At 39.7% G+C, this 27967-nt stretch overlaps 1 protein-coding gene and 1 pseudogene across 4 annotated transcripts in view; both read right to left on the minus strand.

Annotated features, from left to right (window-relative positions):
• Nucleotides 1-27967, minus strand: part of FNIP1 (folliculin interacting protein 1) — a 155304-nt gene that overhangs the window by 14092 nt on the left and 113245 nt on the right. For 3 of the 4 annotated variants that reach the window (NM_001346114.2, NM_001008738.3, NM_133372.3), the window contains 4 exons: nucleotides 23224-23370; nucleotides 21898-22067; nucleotides 15700-17119; nucleotides 14658-14826 (listed from right to left, as the gene is read on the minus strand). In NM_001346114.2, coding sequence (NP_001333043.1) covers nucleotides 14658-14826; nucleotides 15700-17119; nucleotides 21898-22067; nucleotides 23224-23370 — 1906 coding nt within the window. Of the gene's footprint in view, nucleotides 1-14657; nucleotides 14827-15699; nucleotides 17120-21784; nucleotides 22068-23223; nucleotides 23371-27967 lie in introns of those variants that run through there. The other variant, NM_001346113.2, reaches the window with a different exon arrangement.
• On the minus strand, nucleotides 2635-4394 carry ACTBP4 (ACTB pseudogene 4; annotated as a pseudogene).

A 27967-nucleotide genomic window follows, 5' to 3' on the forward strand; every position in this document is an offset into this window, starting at 1 on the left:
TACTCCAGAGGCTGACGCAGGAGAATGGCGTGAACCCGGGAGGTGGAGCTTGCAGTGAACCAAGATTGCGTCACTGCACTCCAGCCTGGGTGACAGAGCAAGACTCCATCTCAAAAAACAACAAAACAAAACAAAACAAAAAAAAAACTAATCTCTTTTGGGAGGCTAAGGCAGGAGGATCCCTTAAGCCCAGGTGTTTGAGGCTGCAGTGAGCTATGACTGCACCATTGCACTCCAGTCTGGGTGACAGAGTAAGACTCTGTCTCTAATAAAACAAAAAGCCAAAAAGATAACAAAACTGGTGTTTAAAGGTTCTCATGTATTTTCCATCATGGTTAGTGTGATACAGCAAACCCTGAATAACATCATGGGATCCACATGGAGTACCACTAGTGATGCTGGAAATGCTCTCAAGAAAAGTAGAGAGAAGTTAAGATATTACAAGAAAAACTTGAATGGCTTGATATGGACCATAGATTAAGTAGCTGTGGTTACCCATCATTTCAAGATCAATGAATCCACCATGAGGACAGTTGTAAAATAAGAAAAGGAAATTTGTGAAGCTGTCATTGCAGCAATGCCACTAGGTGTGAAAACCAGGTACTTTTGCAGAATACCTTTTAAATCTCATAATGAAAATGCAGCTCTTATGTGGGTACAGGGTTGCTGTAAGAAAGCTCTAACTAAAGACTCTAATATTATTTTTTAGATGAAGTCATTATATGACAACTTAAAGCAAAAGGAGGGTAAAGGATCTAAAGCTGGAGAATTTAACGCTAGGAAAGTATGGTTTGATAATTTTAGAAAGAGTTTTAGCTTAAAAAATATCAAGATAACAGCTTTTGCTGACCAAGAGGCAATACACAAGTTCTTGGACACCATCAAGAAAATCATAGAGGACAAAAGGTATCTGCCTGAACAGGTTTTTATTGCTGATGAAAGAATCCTATTATGGAAAAAGATGCCACAAAGTACATTTATTAGTAAGGAACAGGAGCAAGCACCGAGATTTAAGGCAGGAAGGGATAAGCTAACTCCACTGTTTTGTGTAAATGCAGTCATGATTAAGATCAGAACTACCCTTATATAAAGAGCTGCTAACCTCTGGACCTTGAAGGAAAAAAGATAAACACCAGCCCTGCTAGTCTTCTGATAGTAGAACAAGAAAGCCTGAAAAACAAAAACTCTTTTTCTGGATTGAATCCACCCATGCCTTTTTTTTTTTTTTTTTTTTTTTTGAGACAGAGTCTCGCTGGGTTGCCCAGACAGCTCACTGCAACCTCCAACTCCCAGGTTCGAGTGCTTCTCCTGACTCAGACTCTCAAGTAGCTGGGACTACAGGCACCTGCCACCATGCCTGGCTCATTTGTGTATTTTTAGTAGAGACGGGTTTTCACTATGTTGGCCAGGCTGGTCTCGAACTCCTGACCTCATGATCCACACACCTCAGCCTCCTAAGGTGCTGGGATTACAGGCGTGAGCCACCACGCCTGGCCCCACCCATGCTTTATTTCTAAAATCAAGAAGTACCTTGCCAGTAAGTGACTGCCTTTTAAAGTTCTTATGTTGGACAATGCCCCTGGCCACCCAGAACCCTATGAGTTTAACACTGCAAGTGTTGAAGTAGTCTAATTGCCCCTAAACACATCTCTAACTCAGCCTCTAGATCAGGGTGCCATAAGGACCATTAAACACAATATTCTATAAAAATGATTGTCAGTGCTATGGAAAAGAACCCCAGTGGAGAGAATATCATGACAGTCCGAAGAATCACGCCATAGAAGATGCCATTGCTGTTACAGAAAAAGCCATGAAAGCCATCAAGCCTGAAACAATAACTTCCAGCTGGAGAAAACTGTGTCCAGATGTTGCACACAGAACTTAACAACAGAGCCCATCAAGGAAATGATGAAAGAGCTTGAAAATAAGGCAAAAAAAAAAAAAAAAAAAAAACGGTGGGTGAAGGCTTTCAAGATACGGATCTTGCAACTTTGGGAGGCCGAGGCAGGCGGATCACAAGGTCAGGAGATTGAGACCATCGTGGCTAACATGGTGAAACCCTGTCTCTACTAAAAATACAAAAAAATTAGCCGGGTGTGGCAGTGTGTGCCTGTAGTCCCAGCTGCTGGGGAGGCTGAGGCAGGCGAATGGCATGAACCTGGGAGGCGGAGCCTGCAGTGAGCCAAGATCACGCCACTGCACTCCAGCCTGGGCAACAGAGCAAGACTCCATCTCAAAAAAAAAAAAAAAAAAAGATATGGATCTTGCAGAAATTCAAGAGCTAACAGACACCATACCAGAGGAATGAACAAAAGACAACTCGATAGAGACGAGTGCTTCCAAACTAGTGCCAGACAATGAGGAACAAGACGTAGAAGCAGCAAGGCCAAAAAACAAATTGACGTTAGACAATCTAGCAGAAGGGTTCATATTATTCAAGACTGATTTTTATTTCTTTTACCACATGGGCCCTTCTATGATACTGAAACCGCCTTTGCAAAAGTTATATTAGTGAGAACATTATAACAGTGAACTAAGCTAACCCAAAACCCATTTTGGCCTTTCCCTTAATTATTCCTGGGGTATGGGGCCAAGCTAACTTCGGAAGACATTTAGGCTACAGCTTTTTGTTTTTTTTTAAGGTGTGCAATTTTATTCAACTGGTCTCAAGTCAGTGTACAGGTAAGCCCTGGCTGCCTCTACCCACTCCAAGGGTGACCAAAAGCCTTCATACATCTCAAGTTGGGGGACAAAAGGGGGGCCACAAAGGCTGATCATTCAAAGTAAAACAAAATAAAAAAGTATTAAGGTGAAGATTAAAAAATTTTGCATTATATAATTTACATGAAAGCAATGCTATCACCTTCCCTGTGTGGACTTGGGAGAGGACTGGGCCATTCTCCTTAGAGAGAAATGGGGTGGCTTTCAGGGGGGCAAGGGACTTCCTGTAGCAATGCATTTCACGATATTTGGAATGACTATTAGAAAAAAGAACAATGTACAATCAAAGTCCTCGGCCACATTGCAGAACTTTGGGGGATGCTTGCTCCAGCTGACTGCTGTCACCTTCACTGTCCCAGTTTTTAAATCCTGGGTCTAGCCAAAAAAAAAAAAAAAAAAAAAAAAAAAAATCACCACCAAAAACAAAAAAACAAATAAAGCCATGCTAATCTCATCTTGTTTTCTGCACAAGTTAGGTTTTGTCAAGAAAGGGTGAAACGCGACTAAGTAACAGTCCGCCTAGAAGCATTTGCGATGGACGATGGAGAGGCCAGACTCATCATACTCCTGGCTTGCTGACCCACATCTGCTGGAAGGTGGACAGCAAGGCCAGGATGGAGCTGCCCATCCACACCAGAGTGACGATCTTCTGCACCCTGTTCGCAATGCCAGGGTACATGTTGTTGCCGCCAAACAACACTGTGTTGGTGTACAGGTCTTTGCGGATGTCCATGTCACATTTCATGATGGAGTTGAAGGTAGTTTTGTGGATGTCACAGGATTCCATGCTCAGGAAGGAAGGCTGGAAGAGCGCCTCAGGGCAGCAGGATAGCTCATTGCCAATGGTGATGACCTGGCCATCGGACAGCTCATAGCTCTTCTCCAGGGAGGAGCTGGAGGCCGCTGTGGCCATCTCCTGCTCAAAGTCCAGGGTGACATAGTATAGCTTCTCCTTGATGTCACACACGATTTCCCGCTCGGCCATGGTGGTAAAGCTGTAGCTGTGCTCGGTGAGGATCTTCATGAGGTAGTTAGTAAGGTCCCGGCCAGCCACGTCCAGACACAGGATGGCACGGGGGAGGGCGTAACCCTCGTAGATGGGCACTGTGTGGGTGACTCCATCGCTGGAGTCCATCACAATGCCAGTGGTACAGCCATAGGTGTACAGGGACAACATGGCCTGGATGGCCATATACACGGCTGGGGTGTTGAAGGTCTCAAACATGATCTGAGTCATCTTCTTGTGGTTGGCCTTGGATTCAGGGGGACCTCAGTCAGCAGCATACGGTGCTCCTTGGGAGCCACATGCAGCTCATTGTAGAAGGTGTGGTGCCAGATCTTCTCCATGTCATCCCAGTTGGTGATGATGCCATGCTCCATGGGGTACTTCAGGGTCATGATACCTCTCTTGCTCTGGGCCTTGTTGCTCACATAGAAGTCCTTCCGACCCATGCCCATCATCACACCCTGGTGCCTCGGGTGCCCCATTATGGAGGGGAAGACGGCCCGGGGGCATCGTTGCCCGTGAAGCAGACCTTCCACATGCCAGAGCCATTGTCGACGACAAGCACAGCAATATCATTATCCATGGTGAACTGGTGGCAGGTGTGGATGGGCGGCAGAGTGGTGAGGGTGAGGCTCTGTGCTTGCAGGGTGGACACAGTCTTGGTGGTCCAGGCTACAGTTTAAATGATAATAGGCCTTGCCCAAAACTCAACTGCTTTTGTAAAGCTAAAAGGAAGCCATCAGGCTGAAAGTAGGAGAGGAGTTTGAGTTCTGCTAAGGCACAGACATTATTCTGGAGATTATAAGAAATGAAACTTTCCCAACTGCAAATAACACCACTATTGTGCACTGGCATTTTGAGATATCTTTCCAGGTTTTTTGCATGTCTGACACCCTTGGCTCCACCTGGACTGACAACCCACTCCTGTAGCCCCATCCAGAAGCGATTTGGCCCCAGTAGGATAGCTTCAACCCCCTATGATGTTATTTCTGCCCCAACAAATCAGCCGTAAGCACCTGTTACCTGGCCACCGCACCCCTTTCCCCAAACTGCCTTTTAAAAATCCCTAACCTACAAGCTTTGAAGGAGATGATTTGAGTATGAACTCCATCTCCCATGTGGGGTGGCTGGCCTTGTGTCTATTGAACTTTTTCTCTACTACAATACCATAGTCTTTATGCAGTGGGCAGGAAGAACCCCTGGGCAGTTACAAATTTGGGGGCTCATCTGGGATCACCCTTGTGGCTACCTGCCCACGGTGTGGTAGTCCCCCACCGGCAATAGATCCAGAGGCCAGCCCAAGTGGCTGCGTAGTTCTCTTGGACTGGGGGCTGACGCTGGCACTATCTCTACCAGCAACACACTGCTGACCCATGGTGCATGGATTCAATTGCAGTAGAGAAATTGTTCCTGTAAAGACATCTCTAAACTGGTCTGGTGGGTATTCTAGGTGGTGCCAATGCCTCCTTCCTTCTCCTGACTGGTTTGGCTTCTTAAGGGATCTAAGTTTGGCCCCTTTGGCGGTTTCAATTGGCTCTCCCTAATCAGTAGGAAGAGTCTTGGTTGGGGAGACTTCTCCTCAATCAGGAAGATTTCAGGGAGGTTTCTCAGAGAATAGAAGCATACTCTTAGAATTCTTGCTCAGGGATCTTGCTTTGGGAGACCTTCTGTCCGTCTTGTCTTTGTTTTGTGTGTGTGTGTGTGTGTGTGTGTGTGTGTGTTTGTACATCTAGAGGGGATCTCTAAAGGAATTGGTGATGGAAGTCCAGCAGACCTAACTCGGAGAACCTTATTTGGTCACATTTGCTGAGCAGTAAAGGAAGTTCAACAGGTTTGACCTGGGGTGACTGTCTGCTCTTCATGTTGTCCAGACATCACCCAGTGAATTCCCAGTCAGAGGTCATCCCTCCCTACCTTGAGGGGATCAAAGATGACAGGGGCACACTAGAAAAAGATTGAGCCTTGATAAGTCAGTATTAGGTGCTGAGCAAAGTGACTAGTGTCTGTTTTGTTATGTGTGCTTCACCAAGCTGAGATAAAGAATGTTAATTTGATGGTCTCTCGCCCCTCTCCCTCGCTCCCCCACACAGCCTATTGGGTGACATCTTACAAAGTTGAGAGGTTTTTGCCTATGGTTCAATGAAACACACAAAAGTAATTTTCCTTTGTGACTATGGTGCGGTGAGCAACATCGCCAGGGCAGCTGAGGGAAAGGGAAATCAGAAACCTGCCGTGCCAACAAAAGGTAAGAATTTCTTACCAGTGAGGCTTCTGGCCTCTCTCTCTCTGTGCAAATTAGATAAGTGAATGGTAAAAATCACTGTTTATTAATAAGAAAAAGGATCTGTGAGAGGCTAATCTGAGGCTGTAGTGATTCTGGTGTACTTTTCGATGGGTCAGTTATAAACTTTGCTGTGGGTCCCTGAAACAAAAACTAAATGAGGCTTCCCTCTAATCTTGTTTTACATCCTTGAGAGCATGACTTTGTGACCATGTGGGGATACTCTCTCTTGGTCTCCACCATCCAGAGAACAGGAATTTTCAAGTTCATGTCAGGCACCCAATCCGAAAGGGCTGGGAGTCTGAGATGAGTCAGCACATTCTTCATCCCAAATGTGTCAAGCCCTTGGGTGAGTTTTGTCTGAAAAGGTCCCATCTCTATAGGGCATTTGTCATCTTTTGCTATCTTAAGCCCATTTCTGAGAGTGAATTCTTGGGGATCATGGAGATGCCTCTTCTACCCTAGATACCTTTTGCTTCTAATGTAAAAAGAAAGGAAAAAAAAAACTGGAAAATTATCATCTAAACTTTAATAGGCTTCTTAGATTGTGTCACTATTGGAACTGACTACCTCATTGAAAGAAAAAGGTTAAATTAAAAGAAAGATGCATAATAATGACATGGTTAGTCTTAGAAAATTCTCTTGAGCAGTTGAAGTCCTTTGCAAGCTTGAAAATGCTCTAGACTCCTTCTGGGAAAGACAACAGCAGTCACCTTGTACTGTAGGTCAGTTGCAAAGGCTTTGCCCTCCCACAGTGGTGGGTGGCTTGGGTTCAATTCCAGGCTTTGGGAGCAAGTCCTTTTTGGTTTAATACTTGTGGAACTTTTGCCATTTATTGATTCTTTTCCCTTCCATGCACAGCTTCTCATTTCTTATCTTGAATTTTCTTTTCTCTGAACTACCTTTGGAGATATTCTAGATTTTTTTTTTTTTTTTTTTTTTTTGAGATGGTGTCTCACTCTGTCACCCAGGCTGGAGTACAGTGGCACGATCTTGGCTCACCACAACCTTGGCTTCCCAGGTTCAAGCGGTTCTCCTGCCTCAGCCTCCTGAGTAGCTGGGATTACAGGCATGCGCCATTGTGCCTGATGGCTACTTTTTATATTTTTAGTGGAGACGGGGTTTTGCCATGTTGGTAAGGCTGGTCTTGAACTCCTGACCTCAGGTGATCCACCTGCCTCGGCCTCCCAAAGTGCTGGGATTACAGGTGTGAGCCACCGCGGCTGGCCTGGGGATATTCTAGATCTTATAAATCATTTACCATCTCTTTGGAGACACCTCCTACATCCCTGTTTAAGTCATCCCCTTAGTTAAGGCTTATTGATTTCACATAGAAGGTTACCTCTAGTAAAAGGATTCAGAAGTCAGAGTTTGTCCTCACTGAAATCTGGTAATAAAAGATTTTAAAAGAATTTTTCTCTTGAGAGCTCCACAGTTAGAAATCGACTTAATTAAATAGCTGATATTTGGGCTATATATACAGATATTGTTTGAAAGCTCCAGCCTTCCCTTCAAAAGCTTCTCAGTCAATGGAATTTTTTCTTGATTCTCTGTTTCTGTGTATTTATATGTGTCATGTGTGTGATGTTTATATATACAGCTCCAATTAATTGGCTTAAAGAAAAATAAGCGCTTGAATCAAACATTGTCAGAAAAATGGAAACTTTAATCCCTGTAGGTCTCATGACTCTAATAATCTTTTTGTAAATAAAAAAGAAGATTATTGGTAAAGTAAAATGAAAATGTCTTCAAAGTTTATATATTTAGTCTAAATTTGGCAGGTCAAACACTGTTTGCTGGATGCTTTAAGGTGATAAACTGCTTCTGTGACTTTTACTAATTGTTTGTCTGTTCTACAGCCAATAGATTCTAGGTAAGGCCTGGAGACATATGGAGTTAGGCAGGTCCCCTGGCTAGGCTGGGAAAAGTCATGGGTTCTGCAATATTATACATGGTTAAAATTGCTTGTTTACTAGGTTTCTCACCAAAAATAAAATTTGCTAAAAGTTAACAGTGCAGCATGCACTTGAGACTACTGGAAAAACAGTTTTATATACAAGGTGTAGAAGGAAAAAAGAATGTGGTTTTGATGGGAGGCTATAAGAAGGCATGGGAATATGGTTTTTGTTAAAGGGAATGAAATTTTGTCTAGCTCAGAGGGTTTTAACAATTGTCTTAACCTAAAAGAGTAATGGGACAAAACTGAAGGTTTAAGCAAGGTGTAGAGGGTTTGTGAAGGGTTGATCTCATAAAGGAAGTTCTGTAGGTATAAGCAAGTTTGCTAAGATTTGAAGGGGATTATTTAATTTTTCTGTATGTTGAACACTGAAATAAGAGCACACTAATGCAGGGCCAAAATCTGGGCTCACATGTCTGAATAACATGGTTTTCTTAGTGAATTGATCTACTGCTTAACAGAAAATTATAAAAGATTAAAAAAGGTTTATTAAAATTTTACCTTATGGTTAAACTAAGATTGAATCAGTTTGTTTATAAGGTTTTATTAAGAATTGGGTTTAATGTTACTAATACACTAATGCAAAGGTGAAACTTGGCTTTCTCTTTAGAACAAGATTTTTGGGAGGCCGAGGTGGGAGGATCACTTGAGGCTCCAGAGTTCGAGACCAGCCTGGATAATACAGCGAGACCCCATCTTCACAAAAAATAAACACATTAGCCAGGCATGCTGGCATGTGCCTACAGTCCCAGCTACTGGGCAAGCTGAGATGGGAGATTGCTTGAGCCCAGGAGTTCAAGGCTCCAGTAAGCCATGTTCGTGCCACTGCACTCTAACCTGGATGACAGAGCAAGACCCTGTCTCAAAAAAAAAAAAAAAAAAAAAGAGCAATAGGAGAATGGTGAGAAACATAAACTATGACAAAACCATGCAATAATCCATATACATTAAAAATAATGTTTACACACTATGTTAGTATGGGGAAATATTCTTACATTAACTATTATGTAACAAAAGCAGAATTTAAAACAGATAATATAAAATCATAAAGAGTATAAAAATATGGGTATATATAAATACATATACATGCATATATTTTATATATAAGGACTCAGCTATATAAAAATATATACTTATATATAAAAAGATATGCTTGTGTATATCTGTGTATTTATATATAAAATGATATGCTTGTGTATTTATCTGTGTAAATATTGTGTATTTACACAGATATACACAAGCATATCATTTTATATATAAGGCTTCAGACATATATATGATATATAAATACACATACATACAGAATAATAATCATAACAAGAAGATGCAAAGCACAGTGTGACTAATATCACCACACAGTGTAAGTCTGGTAAACAAACATCAGTATTACTTTCATTATAGCCAAAGAAACTGAGGCTTTCCTAGAGTAAGTATTCTGTCTTATGATATACCGGCAATAAGTGGCCAATTCTGGGTTTTATGAGAAGCCACAATGCTGCCTAATGCCTGGAGGAAGTTTCTGTATAAGAATAGCTGATGGTAGAGTTAGGAAAATTTGTGTTTGGCTTTCTTCACATTTCAACATTTTGTATAATAAATATATATTAAGAAAAATGCTACTTTATTAAAAATCAGGGAGAAAAAGAAAAGACACTCTCCTCTTATAATTCAGAAGACTGTATTTTTTTAAAGTATCACTTCCATTATTTATATATTAAAAGGTTCCTACATGTTTTTCCATGTAGTCACATAAAAAAATTTCATGTTAAATATGATAAACTTTAAGTATGCAAGGATTAAAAAATATATATATATATAGATAGGTTTTTTTTTTTTTTTGAGATGGAGTCTCACTGTCACCTGGCCTGGAGTGCAATGGTGAAATCTCAGCTCACAGCAACCTCTGCCTCCCAGGTTCAAGCGATTGTCCTGCCTCAGCCTCCCGAGTAGCTGGGATTACAGATGCCCACCACCACACCCAGCTAATTTTTTGTATTTTTAGCAGAGACGGGGTTTCACTATGTTGGCCAGACTGGTCTCGAACTCTTGACCTCATGATCTGCCCACCTTGGCCTCCCAAAGTGCTGGGATTACAGGCGTGAGCCACAGCGCTTGGCCTAAAATAATACTTTTTTTTTTTTTTTTTTTTGAGACGGAGTCTCGCTCTGTCGCCCAGGCTGGAGTGCAGTGGCGTGATCTCACCTCACTGCAAGCTCCGCCTCCTGGGTTCAGGCCATTCTCCTGCCTCAGCCTCCGTAGTAGCTCCACCACCATGCCTGGCTAAATTTTTGTATTTTTAGCAGAGATGAGGTTTCACTGTGTTAGCCAGGATGGTCTTGATTTCCTGACCTCATGATCTGCCTACCTCGGCCTCCCAAAGTGCTGAGATTACAGCTGTGAGCCACCGTGCCTGGCCAAATAATTTTTTTAGAAATCCTATACATGCTTTGGAAAAATGATTGATAACAAAGTTCAACAACTTGTCAGTGCTGAGATTGAAGGTATTTTATTTTTCTTTTTGTCAAATTTTTCTATAATAGTGCTTTGATAGTATACTTACATGACTAAATGAAAATATGAGAAGGAAAGACTAGAAACCCAATTACTAAAACAGAGGGGGAAAGACAAATAGCTCCTTCCTTTTTACCATAGTGGAAGGAATCCAAGAGCAACAGACCTGGGACCACTAATATAAAAGTCTTATAACTTTGTAATGGTGATTTTGCTATTTGTATTACTCTTTGTTCATCAGTTTTAGTAACAGTATGGCATAGCAGCTTAAGAACAGGCAGTTAAGAACTGAATTCTAGTTTTGCCATTCCCCATCTATGTAACTTAAAAACTTCTCTGAGCCATATCTGAAACACAAAGATAACAATAATAAGTACCTCAAAGGATTATTATAAGATTAAGTGAAATAGTACACTTAAGTGCCTGGGACACAGTAAGGCAACAATAAAAACTAAATACTATTATTATTATTCATCCTATAATAGCAGGAAGAAACCCTTAAAATCAAAATGTTGTCTTTATCTTCAGCAGGAGACAGCAATGTTTTCCAACGCCAGGCTTTCACAGAGAAAGTCACAAGATACTGTGTTTGGCGATGGGTACAGATGAAAGAAGAAAAGAGACTAAGCAACTAGGATCAGACATAAAGAAAGATAAGAATGCATTAGAAGACACAGAGTGCATTAGAAGAACTCATATACAATTCCTTAACCAAGTAATTCAACAAATAATAGGCACTTCATCAGGTATTGGGAGGGAAGCATTGAAAAAACTAGAAACGGTTCCTTTACCCTGAAGGGCATCCATACCACCAACTAATAAAAAATCTGTCCTTTGAAGCAATAATACATTCAAGTATCTTCCTCAGGCACTACTTTTGTTATGTTTTATACTACATTTATTCATACACTTGGCCTTATTTTCTCTGTTGCTAAGTTAAAAACTTGAAGTCAGAAACTTTTTCTTTTTCATACATATATCCCTTGGAGTACTGGCACTATATTCAGAACACAGTAGGTCAATAAATATTTATTTGATTGGTATTCAAAAGCTGGGCAAACTAGCCTTTAAATATGAAGATCACAAGTTCTGATAAGTTTTTCTCACAAATTGTTTTTATCTATATTTGCCATAATTTCTCTACTATACAATAAAACACCAAACTTTACAACTTAGGTAACTTTCTACAGACACAGAAGGTTTAAACCTTATTGGCTAACAATTGACTGTTGCTCACTAAGCCACATTTTCTCATCCATAATTTCCCACTTGGCTTTCTTCACTTCTGTTTTTTTGTTTGTTTGTTTGTTTGTTTGTTTGTTTTGAAATGGTTGTCTTGCTCTGTTGCCCAGGCTGGAGTGCAGTGGCGTGATCTCGGCTCACTGCAACCTCTACCTCCTGGATTCAAGTGATTCTCCTGCCTCAGCCTCCCAAGCAGCTGGGATTACAGGCACATGCCACCACACCCAGCTAATCTTTGTATTTTTGTAGAGGCAGGGTTTCACCATGTTGGCCAGGGTGGTCACAAACTACTGACCTCAAGTAATCCACCCACCTCGGCCTCCCAAAGTGCTGGGATTATAGGCGTGAGCCACCATTCCGGGCCTCTCTATTTCTTTATTAACTTTTTAAATTGAGAGGTGGCCAGATTTTGTTATTAAAGCAAAGTATTAAAGTGATATGTACAATTGAAGGGAGAAATAGAAAATTCAACCAAACAATAGCTGAAGACTTCAATACTTCATTCTCAATAATTGATGGCAGAAACAAACTGAAAATCAGCACGGACATAAAAGACTTAATTAAGACTATTATCTAAAGGTTATCTAACTTGACCTGATAGCTATAGAACATTTCAACAAAAGCAGAATATATATTCTTTTCAAGTGCCATAAAACAGTCTCAATAAATTTACAAGAGGTGAACAAAGTAGGTTCTCCAACCATAATGGAATTAAATTAGAAACCAACAGCAAAACAACTTTTGAGAATTCCATAAATATTTGTAAATTAAACAGCATACTTCTAAATAACTCATAAGTCAAAGAAATTACAAGCAAAATGTAAAAACATTTTGAAATGAATGAAACTGAAAATACAACAGATCGAAATTTGTCAGATTTGGCCAGGTGCGGTGGCTCACGCCTATAATCCCAGCACTTTGGGAGGCTGAGGTGGGTGGATCACCTGAGGTCGGAGTTCCAGACCAACCTGGCCAACATGGTGAAACCTCATCTCTACTAAAAATACAAAAATTAGGCAGGTGTGGTGGTGGGCACCTGTAATCCCAGCTACTCCAGAGGCTGAGGCAAGAGAATCACTTGAACCTGGGAGGCAGAAGTTACTGTAAGCTGAGATGGCACCACTGTACTCCAGCCTGGGTAACAGAGCTAGACTCTGTCTCAAGAAAAATGAAATAAAATAAAATAAGAACAAACAGGAAATATTTTAGGTTTGGGGGCTGAAAAGTCTCTGTCTCAATAACTCAACTCTGCTGTTAGGCATGAACATAGCCAGAAGCATATAAATGAATGACTGTGGTTGTGTTCTAATAAAACTTCATCTATAAAAAGCAGGACAATTTGGCCCACTGTCCATAGCTTGCTAATCCTTGATGTATATGGGCAAAAAATATATACAATTTAAGTGAAACCACGAATGAACTTCTCTTTGGAGAAGCCCTCACCATTTGAAAAACAAACAAACAAAAACACACATTACAAAATTCAGGAACAAAAGAGGGGACATCACTAGCAACCTTATAAAAACTAAAAGGATTGTAAGTGTATAATATAAACAACTTGATTCTAGTAAATTAGGCCACTTAAATGCAACTAATAAATTCCTAAAAGACAAAAATTACCAAAATGGACTCAGAAACAAATAGAAAATCTAAATGTATAAAAGGTGAAGAAATTAAATTAGCAATTTAAAATATTCTTATTCTTAAAAGCCTGGATGCAGATGGTTTCACTAGTGAGTTCTACCAAACGTTTAGAGAAAAAAAGTAGTACTAATCTTCTGGAAACTCTTCCAGAAAATAGAGGATGTGCCAATATTATCCTGATATCAGAGCTAGACAAAGACATCACAAGAAAACTAAAAAGCAATATTTCTCATGAATATAGACTCCAATGTCCATAATAAAATATTGGTAAATCAAATCCAGCAACACATAAAAAAAATTATATACCATGACAGAGTGGGAATTGCTTCCTAGGAATACAATGGTTGGTTTAACATCTAAAAATTAATTAATGAAATCCATGACATTAATAGTTTAAAGATGAAAAATGACACGACAATACAATCTCAATAGACATTGAGAAAAAGCATATGACAAAATCCCACACTCATTCATGATTAAGGGATGGACAAAAAAAACCAAACCGTCTCAAAACTAGGAATAAAAGAGAACTGCCTGTCTCTAAAAGAAGTATTCGGTTAAACAAAATAAAAATAAAAAGGGAACTTCTTCCATCTAATAAAGGGCATCACAAAAACCTTACAACTAACAACATACTTAATCATGAAAGATGCAATGTCTTTCCCCTAAGATCAGGAATAAGGCAACGATGTCCATGGTCACCACTTCCATGCAACATTGTATTGAAAATTCTAGCCAGTACAATGAGTCAAAAAAAAAAAAAAAAGTTGGGGGCAGCGGGGACAAAAGGCATCCAGATTGTTAAGAAAGATTTAAAACTATCTGTTCACTGATAACATGAGCCTGTGTGTAGAAAACCTTAGGGAACCTATACAGAAAAATGAATAGACTAATAAGAGTTTCAGAAAGACCAAAGGATATAAGATCAATACACAAAAGCCAACCCCACTTCTATATGTAAGCAATGAGTAATCTGAAAAGGAAATTAAGAAAATAATTCCATTCAAACTTAAGCACTTGCAAATTTTTGATACTATAAATAACCTAGTTGATGGACATCCATGAATACATAAAGTACTTTCTGTATTTCAGATATCCATGTGGATAGATTTCTGGAACTTTATTTGCTTTCACAGTGACAGATACAAAGATACGGGCACTGAATATAAAATGATGGATTCAGAGAACAATGATTGTGTTGTAAAAAGTATGACCAAAAATATAAGGCAATTTTGGGTTCTGCTGCTTAACAGAGTTTCTTCTAAATAAACTCAAAAACAGTGAAGGTCACTCACCTGCACAGCATGAGATAAATCTGACATCAGACACTGACGGAACCTCTCATCACTCCCAATTCCTTGAAGAACAAAGTCAGGCACATAAGATGAGCAGTAGCCACCCAGCAAGGACCTCCCGAAGTTGGCAATGTTGGGCTGAACAGCACTCACTTCGATTAACTTTGACCTGGAAGAAAAATGCCCCCAAAAGACATTTATTTAGTAATAAATATATTTAACCAGTAAAAAAAAAAAAAAGTGAATTCTACTTGTCCATATTTTACACTAGTCTGTATTAAAATCAAGTGTAAAATCATCCTTATATAATGGTAACAATCGTAAAAATTAAGAGTAAAATGGTAATAATAGTAAAATCAAGAGTAAAATCATCGTTATTTAAAAACTGGCTCAAGTGCTCTATCAGAAAATAAAATACTCCTTCTTATTCAGAGAAGAAGGTCTGATGAGCAACTGAGTAATGAAGTGAGGATCAATCTTTCCTAAGAGACTTTAAGAGAATTGTACCTTGTGTTTGTAGCACATTCTTAATACAATCAGATTATGAAAACAATCATCTAAAACAAAACAATTAAATGCCTCACAAGTCCAAAGCTAGGTATGTAATGTTTCTCAAGCATGAATATTCTCCTTGCATACTTGACCCAAAGTATACATTCTCTGTTTTCCTCTTAGTCTTGGCCAAATCTATTTCTAACAGCTATTCTAACATCTCAGGGATTAGTGCTCCCTAACTGCCAGGCTCAGCATATGTCCTTTGGGGGGCATAAGTCACTCCTAAATGGCTTGAAACCTTCTAAGCAGTAAGAAATCTTATACTTATCAACCAGATCCTTTAACTTTTATTTGAGGTCTTCATAAAACCTTTCCAGGGTGTTTCTGGAGCTTAGCCTTTACTCCTTCTTATGAGTTAAGAGAATATGAAAACAAGAGAGCTATCCAGAACAATGATCTCTTTTATACTAACCTTCAGAGAACAGCTAAAAAAGAGAATGGTACATATTTATATAGGGCCCATTATAGGTGAAAACTTCCTACTTACCCAGGAAAAGGTATCTCATCCTCTTCTGCCCAATCTTCTTGCTCTCCTCCATAATAACTGCTAACTTGTCTAGTCATATCATGACCTGTATCTTCACTTTCACTATCCCCAAGGGCACTGTCTGAACTTTCATTTCTTGGAATGTCCCATTCAGTTCCTACAGCAATTTTTTTATCTGAACTCTCTTTATCCCCATGGGGGACAAGAATGGAGAGTGTATCTCTTTGGTCCTGCTGAGGAAAGCAGGTTTTACATGAATCTTGGGGAACTGTTTCTATACATTTACAAAATTCATTGTTCTGCTTGTTATTTTTTGTACACAATATTTTTGAAAACTCTAACATACAGCAATGGTCTTTACTATCTGTACTTGTTTTAAATGGAACATCATCAATAGTCCTGGTTTCGATTGAATCATCATTAAAATATTCGTCGAATAAGCTCATGCTTTCTGGGTCTGAATGATTCCAACAGGGAAGTTCACAGGGCTCTTCAGAAACCATGTTCTGTGTATCAGACTCTCCAGATTGGTCCTTGGTTGTTTGTTTAGTTTCTTGATGCTGATCAATAGCCCCTCTTTCTTCCTTCAATGGTTTGGTGTGATGTCTGGTAATCTGATCCACCACTGCCTGACTTCGAAGCTCAGTATCTGAATCAGGTGACATAGAATCCCCAATCAGGAAAGTAACCTTTGTCTGGGCAGCCTCACAAGAAAATGAAGCAGGCACAATCTTATCTGGAGGTTTTTTTTCCACAACCATTCCTGTGGATCTCATTGCTTTGCCTGTGTGACTGTCTGAATCCAGCAACTTCTCACTCTGCCATGTTTCCTCTGTTGACTCTAAGCCTGACTCTGACAATGCACATTTGTCTACTGGAACAGATCCTGTGCAAACAACTGTCTCTAACTTGGCGTCAAAGCAAGTTCTTAATTTATCTCTGTACTGTTTAACATCAACAGCATTTTCTTCTTGGCAGTCAGAAGGAGAAATCATCTGGCACTCATCTGAAATTCCTAGCAGCTCCTTAGAGCTGTTTTGAATATCTTCTCTCTCTTGTTGTGAAATGTTCTCTACATTTTGCCCAAGGAGTGGATGACTGCAATATTTACAGTTACAATTGGGAGTTCTAATTTCTTCTGACTCTTTAAAGAGCAAACTGCTTTTGTTTCTATGCATTGTGACAAGGACATACTCTGATTCTTCTATTTCACCTTTCTCTAAAGTGGTAGTAATTACTGTGCCTGGCATAACGATGGCTTCATCTTCTCCATTTTCTAAAAGATGCGTTTCTTGAAGTTCAGAGCATCTTATAAAATAAGTAAGAAAATAAAGTAGCCTCTGGACCATGTCTTGTCGTTTGCCAACTACCACAGTCCTTGCTAACCGTACGGGAGAGCCAATAGCGCCATACAAGTCTCCTGTAATGGAAAAAATCAGTTATTGGACATGTCCTTTACTGACACAGCTAAGTAAGCTATTTTTAATGATCAGAAACCTACTTCTTTTACTGTATGAGTAATAGTTTAGGTTTTACTCGTTTTTTTGTTTTTTTTTTTTTTGAGACAGGGTCTCACACTGTAATCCTGGCTGGAGTGCAGTGGTACAATCATGGTTCACTGCAGCCTCAGCCTCCTAGGCTCAGGTGATCCTGCTACCTCAGCCTCCTGAGTAGCTGGGACTATAAGCGCGTGCCACCATGCCTGGCTAATTTTTTGTATTTTTTTTTTTTTGTAGAGACAGAGTTTTGCCATGTTTCCTAGGGTGGTCTTGAGCTCCTGGGCTCAAGCAATCCACTGGCCCTGGCCTCCCAAAGTGCTGGGATTACAGGCGTGAGCCACCATGCCTGGCCTCACTCTTAGTTCTTTAACAGATGAGTGACTATTCAAGGGAGGAAGATGAGATGAATAATCTTAACCAGAGAGAAAGGTGAATTTAAGGGTTTTCTGGTTTCCTCTTTAAACAAATGCTATGGTTCAGAAACCTCAAGCAAAGAGTCAGTTCTGAAACTCACATATCCCAAGAATATTCTCTAACCCAGGCTCCATGCAGAGCATTTTTACCTTGTTAGAGAAGTACTGCCTGAAGTACTATGTACACAAGGATTCTGTAGCTGTGTCCAATCAAGAAAAGACAAAGCACAATATCCACTGGCTTGCAAGGAGAGGAAAGGAGTAGTGGTAAAATGGAGCAAAGCTATAGTCGTCACACCACACACTTAACCATTCCTGATTTAAATCATATCTCTGGGGCCGGGCACAGTGGCTCACGCTTGTAATTCCAGCACTCTGAGAGGCCGAGATGGGTGGATCACTTGAGACCAGGAGTTCAAGACCAGCCTGGCCAAGATGGTAAAACCCTGTACCTACTAAAAATACAAAAACTAGCCAGGTGGTGTCGTGGGCACCTGTAGTCCCAGCTACTTGGGAGGCTGAGGCTGGAGAATTACTTGAACCCAGGAGGCAGAGGGTGCACTGAGCCGAGATGACACCACTGCACTCCAGCCTGGGCAACAAGAGCAAGACTCCGTCTCAAAAAAATAAAAATAATAAAAAATAAAAAGAAATAAAATAAAAAAGTAAGTCATATCTCTGAACTTTAACTGTTGTTCCTCTAGCCAGCACCCCACCCCACCAGCTCCCATGTTTGTAAAAGCCTATTTTCCCCTTCCATTCCCTAGAGGGTTGGGTACTCAGGATAGGCCAGAAAGGGCAGGAAGAGAGAGACTCATCCTTACTAAAAGGAAAAGAAAGGGCAACAAGTTCAGCCATGCAGTTCATTTTCACTTTTGAATCCATTCTAAACATGACTAGCCATTATGTTAAAAGCAGGGGAGGTGAGGGGGGCAGGACTAGAAATTAGCATTTCTATATTTATGCTATACTTCAAATTAAACCAGTAATTTCAGTGCCAAAACTATGGAGAATAGGGCTGGGCATGGTGGCTTACACATGTAATCCCAGCATTTGGGGAGGTGGAAGCAGGCTGATCACTTGAGCCCAGGAGTTCAAGACCAGCCTGGGCAACATGGCGAAACCCTTGTCTCTACAAAAAAATACAGAAAATTAGCTGGGCATGGTGGCGCGCACCTGTAATCCCAGCTACCTGAGAGGCTGAGGCGGAAGAATCACCTGAGCCCAGGAAGTTGAGGCTGCAGTGAGCTGTGATCGCACCACCACACTCCAGCCTGTGCAATAGCGTGAGACCCTGTCTCAAGAAAGAAAGAAAAAAAAAGGAGAATACAAAGCCATTAATTTCAACTTAATTCAATTTTTGAAGTTGTCAGTATACACATTTAAAATCCTCTATTTTTACTTTACAAAGCCCTCACACTTTTTAAAGGAACAAATATAAATAGGTCTCAAATAAATATAAGCTATAGATACTATTATGATAAATTTTCTCTTCTGGCTAACACACTGGCTCAAATATCACCATGCCACTGTTCTAAACTACTCCCATAATTCCCACAAATTACCAAGTAAGTTGAAATTGCTTTGGCATGGCAAGTGAGTCTTTCATGATTCCCACTTTACTTTTCCAGCTTTATTTTCTTATACTTATCCTCCTTCTTGGCAGTCAGAAGAAGAAATCATCCTTATTCGCACAAAGCCCCAGTTAAACTGGACCACTGAATATGCTCTGCACTTTTAACACCTAGACTCTTTACTCATGTGATGTCCTGTCCCTTTCCTCAATATCTCTGCCAGTCCATAGCTTCCCACCTAAGCATCCTCACTTGGACAAAAGTAGGCTCCCCTGTTGAACTCTCACTAAACTTTTCATTTCTCTTATAGTTCCTCCTTGAATTATCATTGTTGTCTGCATATATATTACCTACAGTCTTAGACTGTCGACTTCTTGAGGGCAATTTCCAAATCATTCATCTTTACAGCCTCTGTGCTTTTTAAACAGAGCCTAGACAGTCAACAAATGATTGTAGAATTAAAAAAGGATTTAAATGTCCCAATTTAAAAAATACTACTAATAATTTGATTTTAAAAAGGTCCATGCAATGGAATACTACTCAGCATTAAAAAGGAATGAACCATTAATACATACAAAATAGGTGAATCTGAATTATATTGAATGAATGAGATCAAAGAAAGTATATACTGCATGATTCCATTCATATAAAACTCTAGAAAATGCAAGTAATCTACCATGACAGAAAGTAGGCCAGTGGCTGCCTAGGGATGGTGGAAGAGGAACAGAGAAGTTGGGGAGAAGGAGATGGGGAGGAGGAGGAGGAGGAAGAGATTACAAAAAGGCATAAGGAAACTTTTGTAAGTGATGCAATATGATTACCATTTTGATTGTGGTGATGGTTTCAGAGGCATATATGCGAAACTTATCAAATTGCTTTATTTTTTTGAGACAGATTCTCGCTCTGTCACCCAGGCTACGGTGCAGTGGCATGATCTCGGCTCATTGCAACCTCTGCCTCCAGGTTCAAGGGATTCTCCTGCCTCAGCCTCCTAAGTGGCTGGGATTATAGGCGCCTGCCACCACGCCCAGCTAATTTTTTTTTTTTTTGAGACAGAGTCTTGCACTGTTGCCCAGGATGGAGTGCAGTGGCATGATCTCGGCTCACTGCAAGCTCCGCCTCCTGGGTTCACACCATTCTCCTGCCTCAGCCTCTTGAGTAGCTGGCGCCCACCACCACGCCCAGCTAATTTTTTGTACTTCTAGTAGAGATGCGATTTCACCGTGTTAAGCCAGGATGGTCTCGATCTCCTGCCCTCATGATCCGCCTGCCTCGGCCTCCCAAAGTGCTGAGATTACAGGCGTGAGCCACTGCACCCAGCCATTGTTTTGTATTTTCAGTAGAGGCAGGGTTTCACCATGTTGGCCAGGCTGGTTTCGAACTCCTGACCTCAAGTAATCCACCCACCTCAGCCTCCCAAAGTGCCAGGATTACAGGCATGAGCCACTGCACCTAGCCCAAACTGTGTACTTTAAATATGTGTTGGGCCAGGTGTGGTGGCTCATGCTTGTAATCCCAGCACCTTGGGAGGCCAAGATGAGCAGATCGCTTGAGTCTGGGAGTTTGAGACCAGCCTGGGGGAACATGGCAAAACCCCATCTCTACAATAAATACAAAAACTAGCCTGGTGTGGTGTTACGCGCCTGTAGTCCCAGCTACTTGGGTGACTAAGGTAGGGAGATCATTTGATCCCAGGGAAATTGGAGCTGCAGTGAGCCATGATCGTGCCACTGCACTTCAGCCTGGGCAAAAGAGTGAGACTTCATTAAAAAAATGCATTTACTGTATGTCAATTATAACTCAATAAAATGGAAGGGAATGGGGGAGGGAACAAGGGAGAAAGCCAGTAGGGATGGAGGTTGGTTATATGAATTGATATATGTCATATGACATATTGCCATATGACAATCCACCTGGCAAGCTCAATCACAGAGCAACCTAAGGAAAGTTACTACCCAGTCACCAAAATGTTCTCATCTTACTCTTCCCCCATCATCTAAAAGCAACAGAGTAGGAGCAGAGGTAATTAGCAGCTACGTTTACGAGACACAGTCTCAACCATTTTACATGTATTATCTCTTTTAATTTTTACAACTTTTAAAGTATGTATCATCTACTATTATTCCTACTTTATGAATAAGGAAACTGTGATTCAAATGTGGTGTGCCTGACTCCACAGCCTGTGTCTTTAGCACCCTGGTACAATCCCTCCCTATTGTCTATGAACTTATCAACCATCTACTCTCCCCTCTGTTCCCCGACTTGTTTAGTGGTGCTTAACACTGAGGGAAACATTTTCCAAAATGACTCAGCAAGTGAACAAAAGTGGATCAACAGAAACCTCAGTGAATTGCTTCACTCCTAACCAGATTGATTTTAGGTATCACCGGTGACTGTTGATTTATTCTTTCTTGCAAAGTACCTAACACAAAGTACAAAATCATAAAACATCCTGAAGATCTGAAGTTACTAGTAAACGAGCTATCAGCCTGCTCCTCTTGCTCTACCTGCAGTTCTTCATCTATAAGGAATGATTTCAGGTCTAAGACGAGGATAAGACAAATTGGCAGACATGAAAGGACAAGCAAAGCAGAGATGCTTTAGAATGCAGGAGGTAAAAGCATTTTATTTATTTTTGGTTTTGCTATAAAATAATTACAGATAGCTACAAAAAAGTCTAATACATAGTGTAACAGTTGTCAGATTACATACCCAGTTGTGCCCAAAGTGGGTTATATGGATGAGTCTTTGCCAACATGTCCACACTCTGAGAGGAATGCTTTTCTAAAAATATTTTTATAGGTGGTTGTCCATTTGGCATGACTGTTGGAACCCAGGCAAGATGATTGGTCAGAACTGCAGTAATGAGAGCTGGCAAGAATCTGAAAACAAAATACATCTGATCAGATTCCAATCAGTCTTCATGAAACCTTAGGTAAAATGTAGTGAAAAAGTAAGCAAGGGGAGTATATATGTTCATGTGGCCAAATGGCACCAAAAAAAGGAGAAGAGAGAGGAAAGGATGAGTATATAACACCAAGATTAAAATGAAAGTTAATAGTTTCTGGTTGAGGAGGAGTTAAAAACTACTTGAAATAAAGATAACACATTCATAAGAGCTATTGCAGATCGTAAGTACAAAACAGAAATGCCATTTTACTTCAAAAATTATGGATTATTTTCAGTGTTTAATCACACAATTAATTACTGAATCAACCAGCAGGTCCTTACATTTCCAAATTACTGAATGGGAAAACGAGGCAAAGTATTAAGCAAACTCTGTCTATCATCAAAGAGAATAAAAACAACTGAATTATTCATCTGGATTCCAAAGACTTGAATAGTTAAAATAATACAATACGATAAAACATCACATTGAAAATGCATCATTAGAATCCTACCATTTCCTTATATGTTTTTTTTGTTTGTTTGTTTGAGACGGAGTCTTGCTTTGTCACCCAGGCTACAGTGCAGTGGCGCAATCTCCACTTACTGCAAGCTGTGCCTCCTGGATTCACGCCATTCTCCCGTCTCAGCCTCCCAAGTAGCTGGGACTACAGGCACCCGCCACCATGCCCGGCTAATTTTGTTTTTGTATTTTTAGTAGAGACAGGGTTTCACCGTGTTAGCCAGGATGTCTCGATCTCCTGACCTCGTGATCCACCCACCTCAGCCTCCCAAAGTGCTGGGGTTACAGGTATGAGCCATCACGCCTGGCCATCCTTAAATGTTTTCTACCTCTTTTCTATGAAATAAAACTATAAATGGATACAACTCACAAAAAAATGGGCAGCCTCAGATAATTCTACAATATGTCAGGAATTTTAATTACATAATTACAGACATTTTCACTGCTTTTCATTCATAAGGTTCTGTAATACTCTTCCATACCCTATCATTTAATTATTTTTTAGAATTCTGATTATTAATTTTGATTAATAATATAAAATAATTCCAAAGATAATGGATGATTCTTCCACATCTGTAATTGAGTTTGATTACAATCTAGATATCTAGTTATAATAAATAAATTCATACTGATTTTTGGAAGCATTTTCCATTAGAAAGGTGAACTCCTTCATGAAACGATAGCAAAGGTGGTTCTTTTCTGGAGTCCCCGACATCATTGTAAGCCAGACAGGTTCTCCAATTCGTGGCATCGTGTAAAGATTACAAATTGTTGTTCTAAAAAGAGGAAGACACATTATGAAATGTATAGTTCCAAGAGTTACATACTCTTAAAATAATTTTAAGTTTATATTGCCAGCTTGGTCCTTACATCTAGATTATTAAAGCTTTTGAGGAAAGACAATGGACCAAGTCCTTCTTTCCTTGTCAACAACACAGTACCATGGGAAATGTTCTCAAAATATGTTGGTTCTGGTGTTGGCTCTCCCCACCAGTGACTGTGTGCCCTAGAGTAAATTATTTCCCTACTTTAAGCATTTGTTTCCCATACCTGTAAAATGAAAGGATACGATGATAATTTCTAAAGCCCATTCCAGCTCCACATTTCTACGGGGTATGCTGTACTTAAATATACCGCAAATAATCAACTACATGTACAAAAAGAAAATATTCTAAATGAGGTAACAGCTTATCCATCTACCCACTCAAAACAACAGTTTATCTGCATCATTTTGTTGCCTATGCTAAGACTCTAGTAACATTCTTAAGGACAGCGAGAACAGTATACATACATGCTACATTTTATGACTCTCTCAACCTTCTACAGTGTTTCCTTGAATCAACACAAAAAAAGATTATCACACAATTAGCACAGTGCTTTCTTAGCTGTCTCTTGGACTAATTTAGACAATAGCTAGTCCTGTGACTTGTACTTTCTCCTGAAGGCTTCAAAGCATACTTTCAAGATGTTAATTATTTTCTTTTTACATCATTATCTATTTAACAAAGCCCTATACATTTACTAGACTAAGCAACTCCTGCAAAAGCCTGAGGCTTAAGAAACTAGTCAATCCTGGAGAACTACAGAATGGTGTCCTACTTTCTACTTTTTAAAACAATGCTGTCTAGTAGAACCTGGCAATGATGGAAACCTGCACTGTCTGAAATGGTAGCCACTAGCTGTATGTGGTTACTGAACACATGACATGTGACCAGTATGACTAAGGAAGGGAATTTATCTTAATTAAGTTAAATAGCCACATGTGGCTGACGGCTGAGATTTTATTGTGCAATACTGCTCTAGAAAGTTCTCTGAGATTTCCATAAATTCTAATACCAACCTCAGTATCACTGTCTGGTAACACCTAGGAGCCAAAAAAGAGAAGAATTATCTTGCCTCTACAAATTTTGTTGAATTTGAAACAATATAAACATGATGTATTACAATGGATAGAAACAATAAGAACAGGTCACTTTAATGAGCTCTCTGTAGAACATATAATCATTGCTAAGAATTTTAAAATAAACAAAAAGTTATTTTATAGAGCAAATATGACTAGAATACAAACTAGGCATATATGAAAATGTTTGTTTTTAAAGCTTATTACAGGTGTCCAGATACGATGGAAAATTGAAGACAAATGTTTATCCTCTCTTCAGTTTCTGAGGCCCCAAATGAACACCACCTAAAGATTTGAAAACAGATAAACTAGTGCAACAAATAGAATTAGAGAAGAACCAGCTGGGTGTGGTGGCTCACACCTGTAATCCCAGCTCTTTGGGAGACTGGGGCAGGAGGACTGCTTAAGCCCAGAGTTCAAAACCAGCCTGGGGAACACAGTGAGACCCTGTCTCTATTATTTAAAAAATAAATTACTTAATTTTAAAAAAATTGCCAAGGAACTATTACTGAAAATTAAAATTAGAGATTTCATGAAATTCTGGAATACAAACATATGGTGGAATTGTGATTGAAGTAGCAGAGTAGAGAAAGTTATAAGGTCATAGTATCACAGAGGGAGACATGGACAAAGGAGAGCTAATTTGCCCCACTAAAGCAAGATGAGGCTCAAGACTCACAAATTTTTGGGAAAGTCATGACAGGAGTTACGATACAGTACTGAAAATTGGGAGACTAATTCAAAGTCCATAAATGGTTGGCAGCTCCCTACCTCCTCTCCACTTCCCCAGAAAATGACTACAGATAGGAGAGAGCAGATATAGCAGTTGAATGGCCCCGAGGAATGACCTTTTCCAAACTCTTCCTGGCATTTGTATCTTTCAGAGTATATAATCAGATATAGAGTATATCTTGTAGTGTTAAATCTTCATGGGATTGTGGGGGGCGGTGGTATTGAAGGAGCAGAGATTAGGGGAAAAATATCTAAATATGCTTCTTCAGGTAATGATAATAAAAAAAGGTTGAAAAACACTGCCCTGAAGTGAAGGTCTCCAGTCAAAAGCCTGATTATGCACAGAATTCCTAACCTACAGTTTGTTACCTCATTCTCAACTACAGAGCGCAACCAAAAACACTGATATTTAGAGAAAGCCTCCAAGCAGAGAAAAAGACAAGAACAGAAACACACACATACTCACCCATATAAAATGACTCCAGAGGAAAACAGAAATAATGCAAACAATGGAAGAAAACTTTTAAACAAAACTCTAATGTACATTAAAATTAAAGAGTATGGTAGAGAATCTAATTTTCAAAGAAAAGGATTATCCAAAAATAAGAAAGCATCAAAGATTTGCTGAAATGAAAAAAGCATAGAAGGGATAGAAAAACAAAACATTCACAAAAAGAGAAGGAAAATATGAAAAAAAAGGAACACAGAACAATCCAGGAGTGCCAATTTCTAAAAAAAAAAAAAAAACGGATTCCAGAGAGAAAACAGAATAAATTGTAAAAGAAAGCAGAAAAATTACCAGAGCCGAAGAACATGATGGTGCTATAACAATACTGAGACCATAAAGGACCAAGAAACAGGTATAAACCCATATATCATGGCAGAAAATAAATATGATCTAAAACTGATAAATGAGGAAATAGCAACATTTCGTATACTTTTTAATAATATGGAAGTAAATAACAAGAAATAATAGTTAAAAAGAGAATGTGTCTGGGAAGAATGGGGTGAGTAGGATAGGATTCATTTATTTTTAATTATTGGACCTTTCAGAAATTTTTGTTTCTTAATCATGTGCATATACTTTTTGATTAAAAGAAACAATGTATAAATAAATAAATAAATATGCTGATCATTTAAGACTTTTTCATGAGTTTCTTCAGCATATTACCGTCTACTATAAGTCCATGTGTCATTGCACAGAGCCAGATCACAAACACTGGTATTAGTGGTCCAATGAGAGCCTTTGCTTTAGTATTTTAGTATTATATTTGTTTAAAAGTATTATATATGCTATGGCCTCAGAGTGTTATCAAGTATAAAGAAGGCAAAGAAATTAATTACGCAACAGTGCTTCTCACTATATACAACTCTATGTTGTTGTCATTAACAATCTAGAAGTAATGGCCAGGTGCGGTGGCTCACATCTATAATCCCAGCACTTTGGGAGGTCTAGGTGGGCGGATCACCTGAGGTTGAGAGTTCAAGACCAGCCTGGCCAACATGGCAAAATCCCGTCTACTAAAAATACAAAAATTAGCTGGGTGTGGTGGTGAGTGCCTGTAATTCCAGCTACTTGGGAGGCTGAGGCACAAGAATCACTTGAACCTGGGAGGCAGAGGTCACAGTGAGCTGAGATTGCACCACTTCATTTCAGCCTGGGCGGTAGAGCAAGACTCCGTCTCAAAAAAAAAAAAATCTAGAAGTAATGGTTTATTCTAGAAATCATTTCTTTCTTCTCCACTAATAATTGTGCCCTATCATTCAATGGTAAGAAAAGCAAATACTTTCAGTAATCTGTCCCCTTATTTTTCCCAGTCTGTCCCCTTATTTTTCCCAGTGCCCGGACAATGAAAGACTCTTTTGGTTGGGAGGAAACTGTAGGCATGATTTAGTTTTCTTTGATATGCCTAGGGTCTATATAAAAATCTAAAGACTTCGTCTTTGTTAGGCAGCAATGTTAACTAAACATGCTTCCTGCTTCTCTAGCTTTCATGGTTTCTGTACACATGTAAATAATTTCCTTCCTCTTCTCAACTGCCCAAAATTTACTAATCACTTGATCTCAAATAATCATTTAAAGATTATGTCATTGTTAATTTTAAATAATCCCTTAATTTAAGAAGTACATTTATCTCTTGGTGTCTTCAGGGGATTGGTTCCAGAATTCCCATGGTTACCAAAATCTGTGGATGCTCAAATCCCTTATGAAATGGCATACTATTTGCATGTAACCCATGCACATCCTCCTGTATACTTAAAACCACCTCACTTTGGGAGGCCGAGGCAGGCAGATCACGAGGTCAGGAGATTGAGACCATCCTGGCTAACACGGAGAAACCCTGTCGCTACTAAAAATACAAAAAAAAAAATTAGCCAGGCGTGGTGGTGGGCACCTGTAGTCCCAGCTACTCGGAAGGCTGAGGCAGGAGAATGGTGTGAACCCGGGAGGCAGAGCTTGCAGTGAGCCGAAACTGCGCCACTGCACTCCAGCCTGGGTGACAGAGCAAGACTCCGTCTCAAAAAAAAAAAAAAAAAAAACCATCTCTAGAGTACTTATAATACCAAATGCAGTGTAAATACTATGTTAATAATTGTTATACCGCATTGGTTTTTTAATGTGTATTTTTTTAATTGCAGTTAATTTTTATTGGTTTTTCTTTTTCAAATATTTTGATCCGAGGTTGGCTGATTTGCAGATGTGGAACCCACAGATATAAAGGTCTGACTGCAGAGTCTAT

Source organism: Homo sapiens, chromosome 5 (genome assembly GCF_000001405.40).
Source record: "Homo sapiens chromosome 5, GRCh38.p14 Primary Assembly".
NCBI lineage: Eukaryota > Metazoa > Chordata > Mammalia > Primates > Hominidae > Homo > Homo sapiens.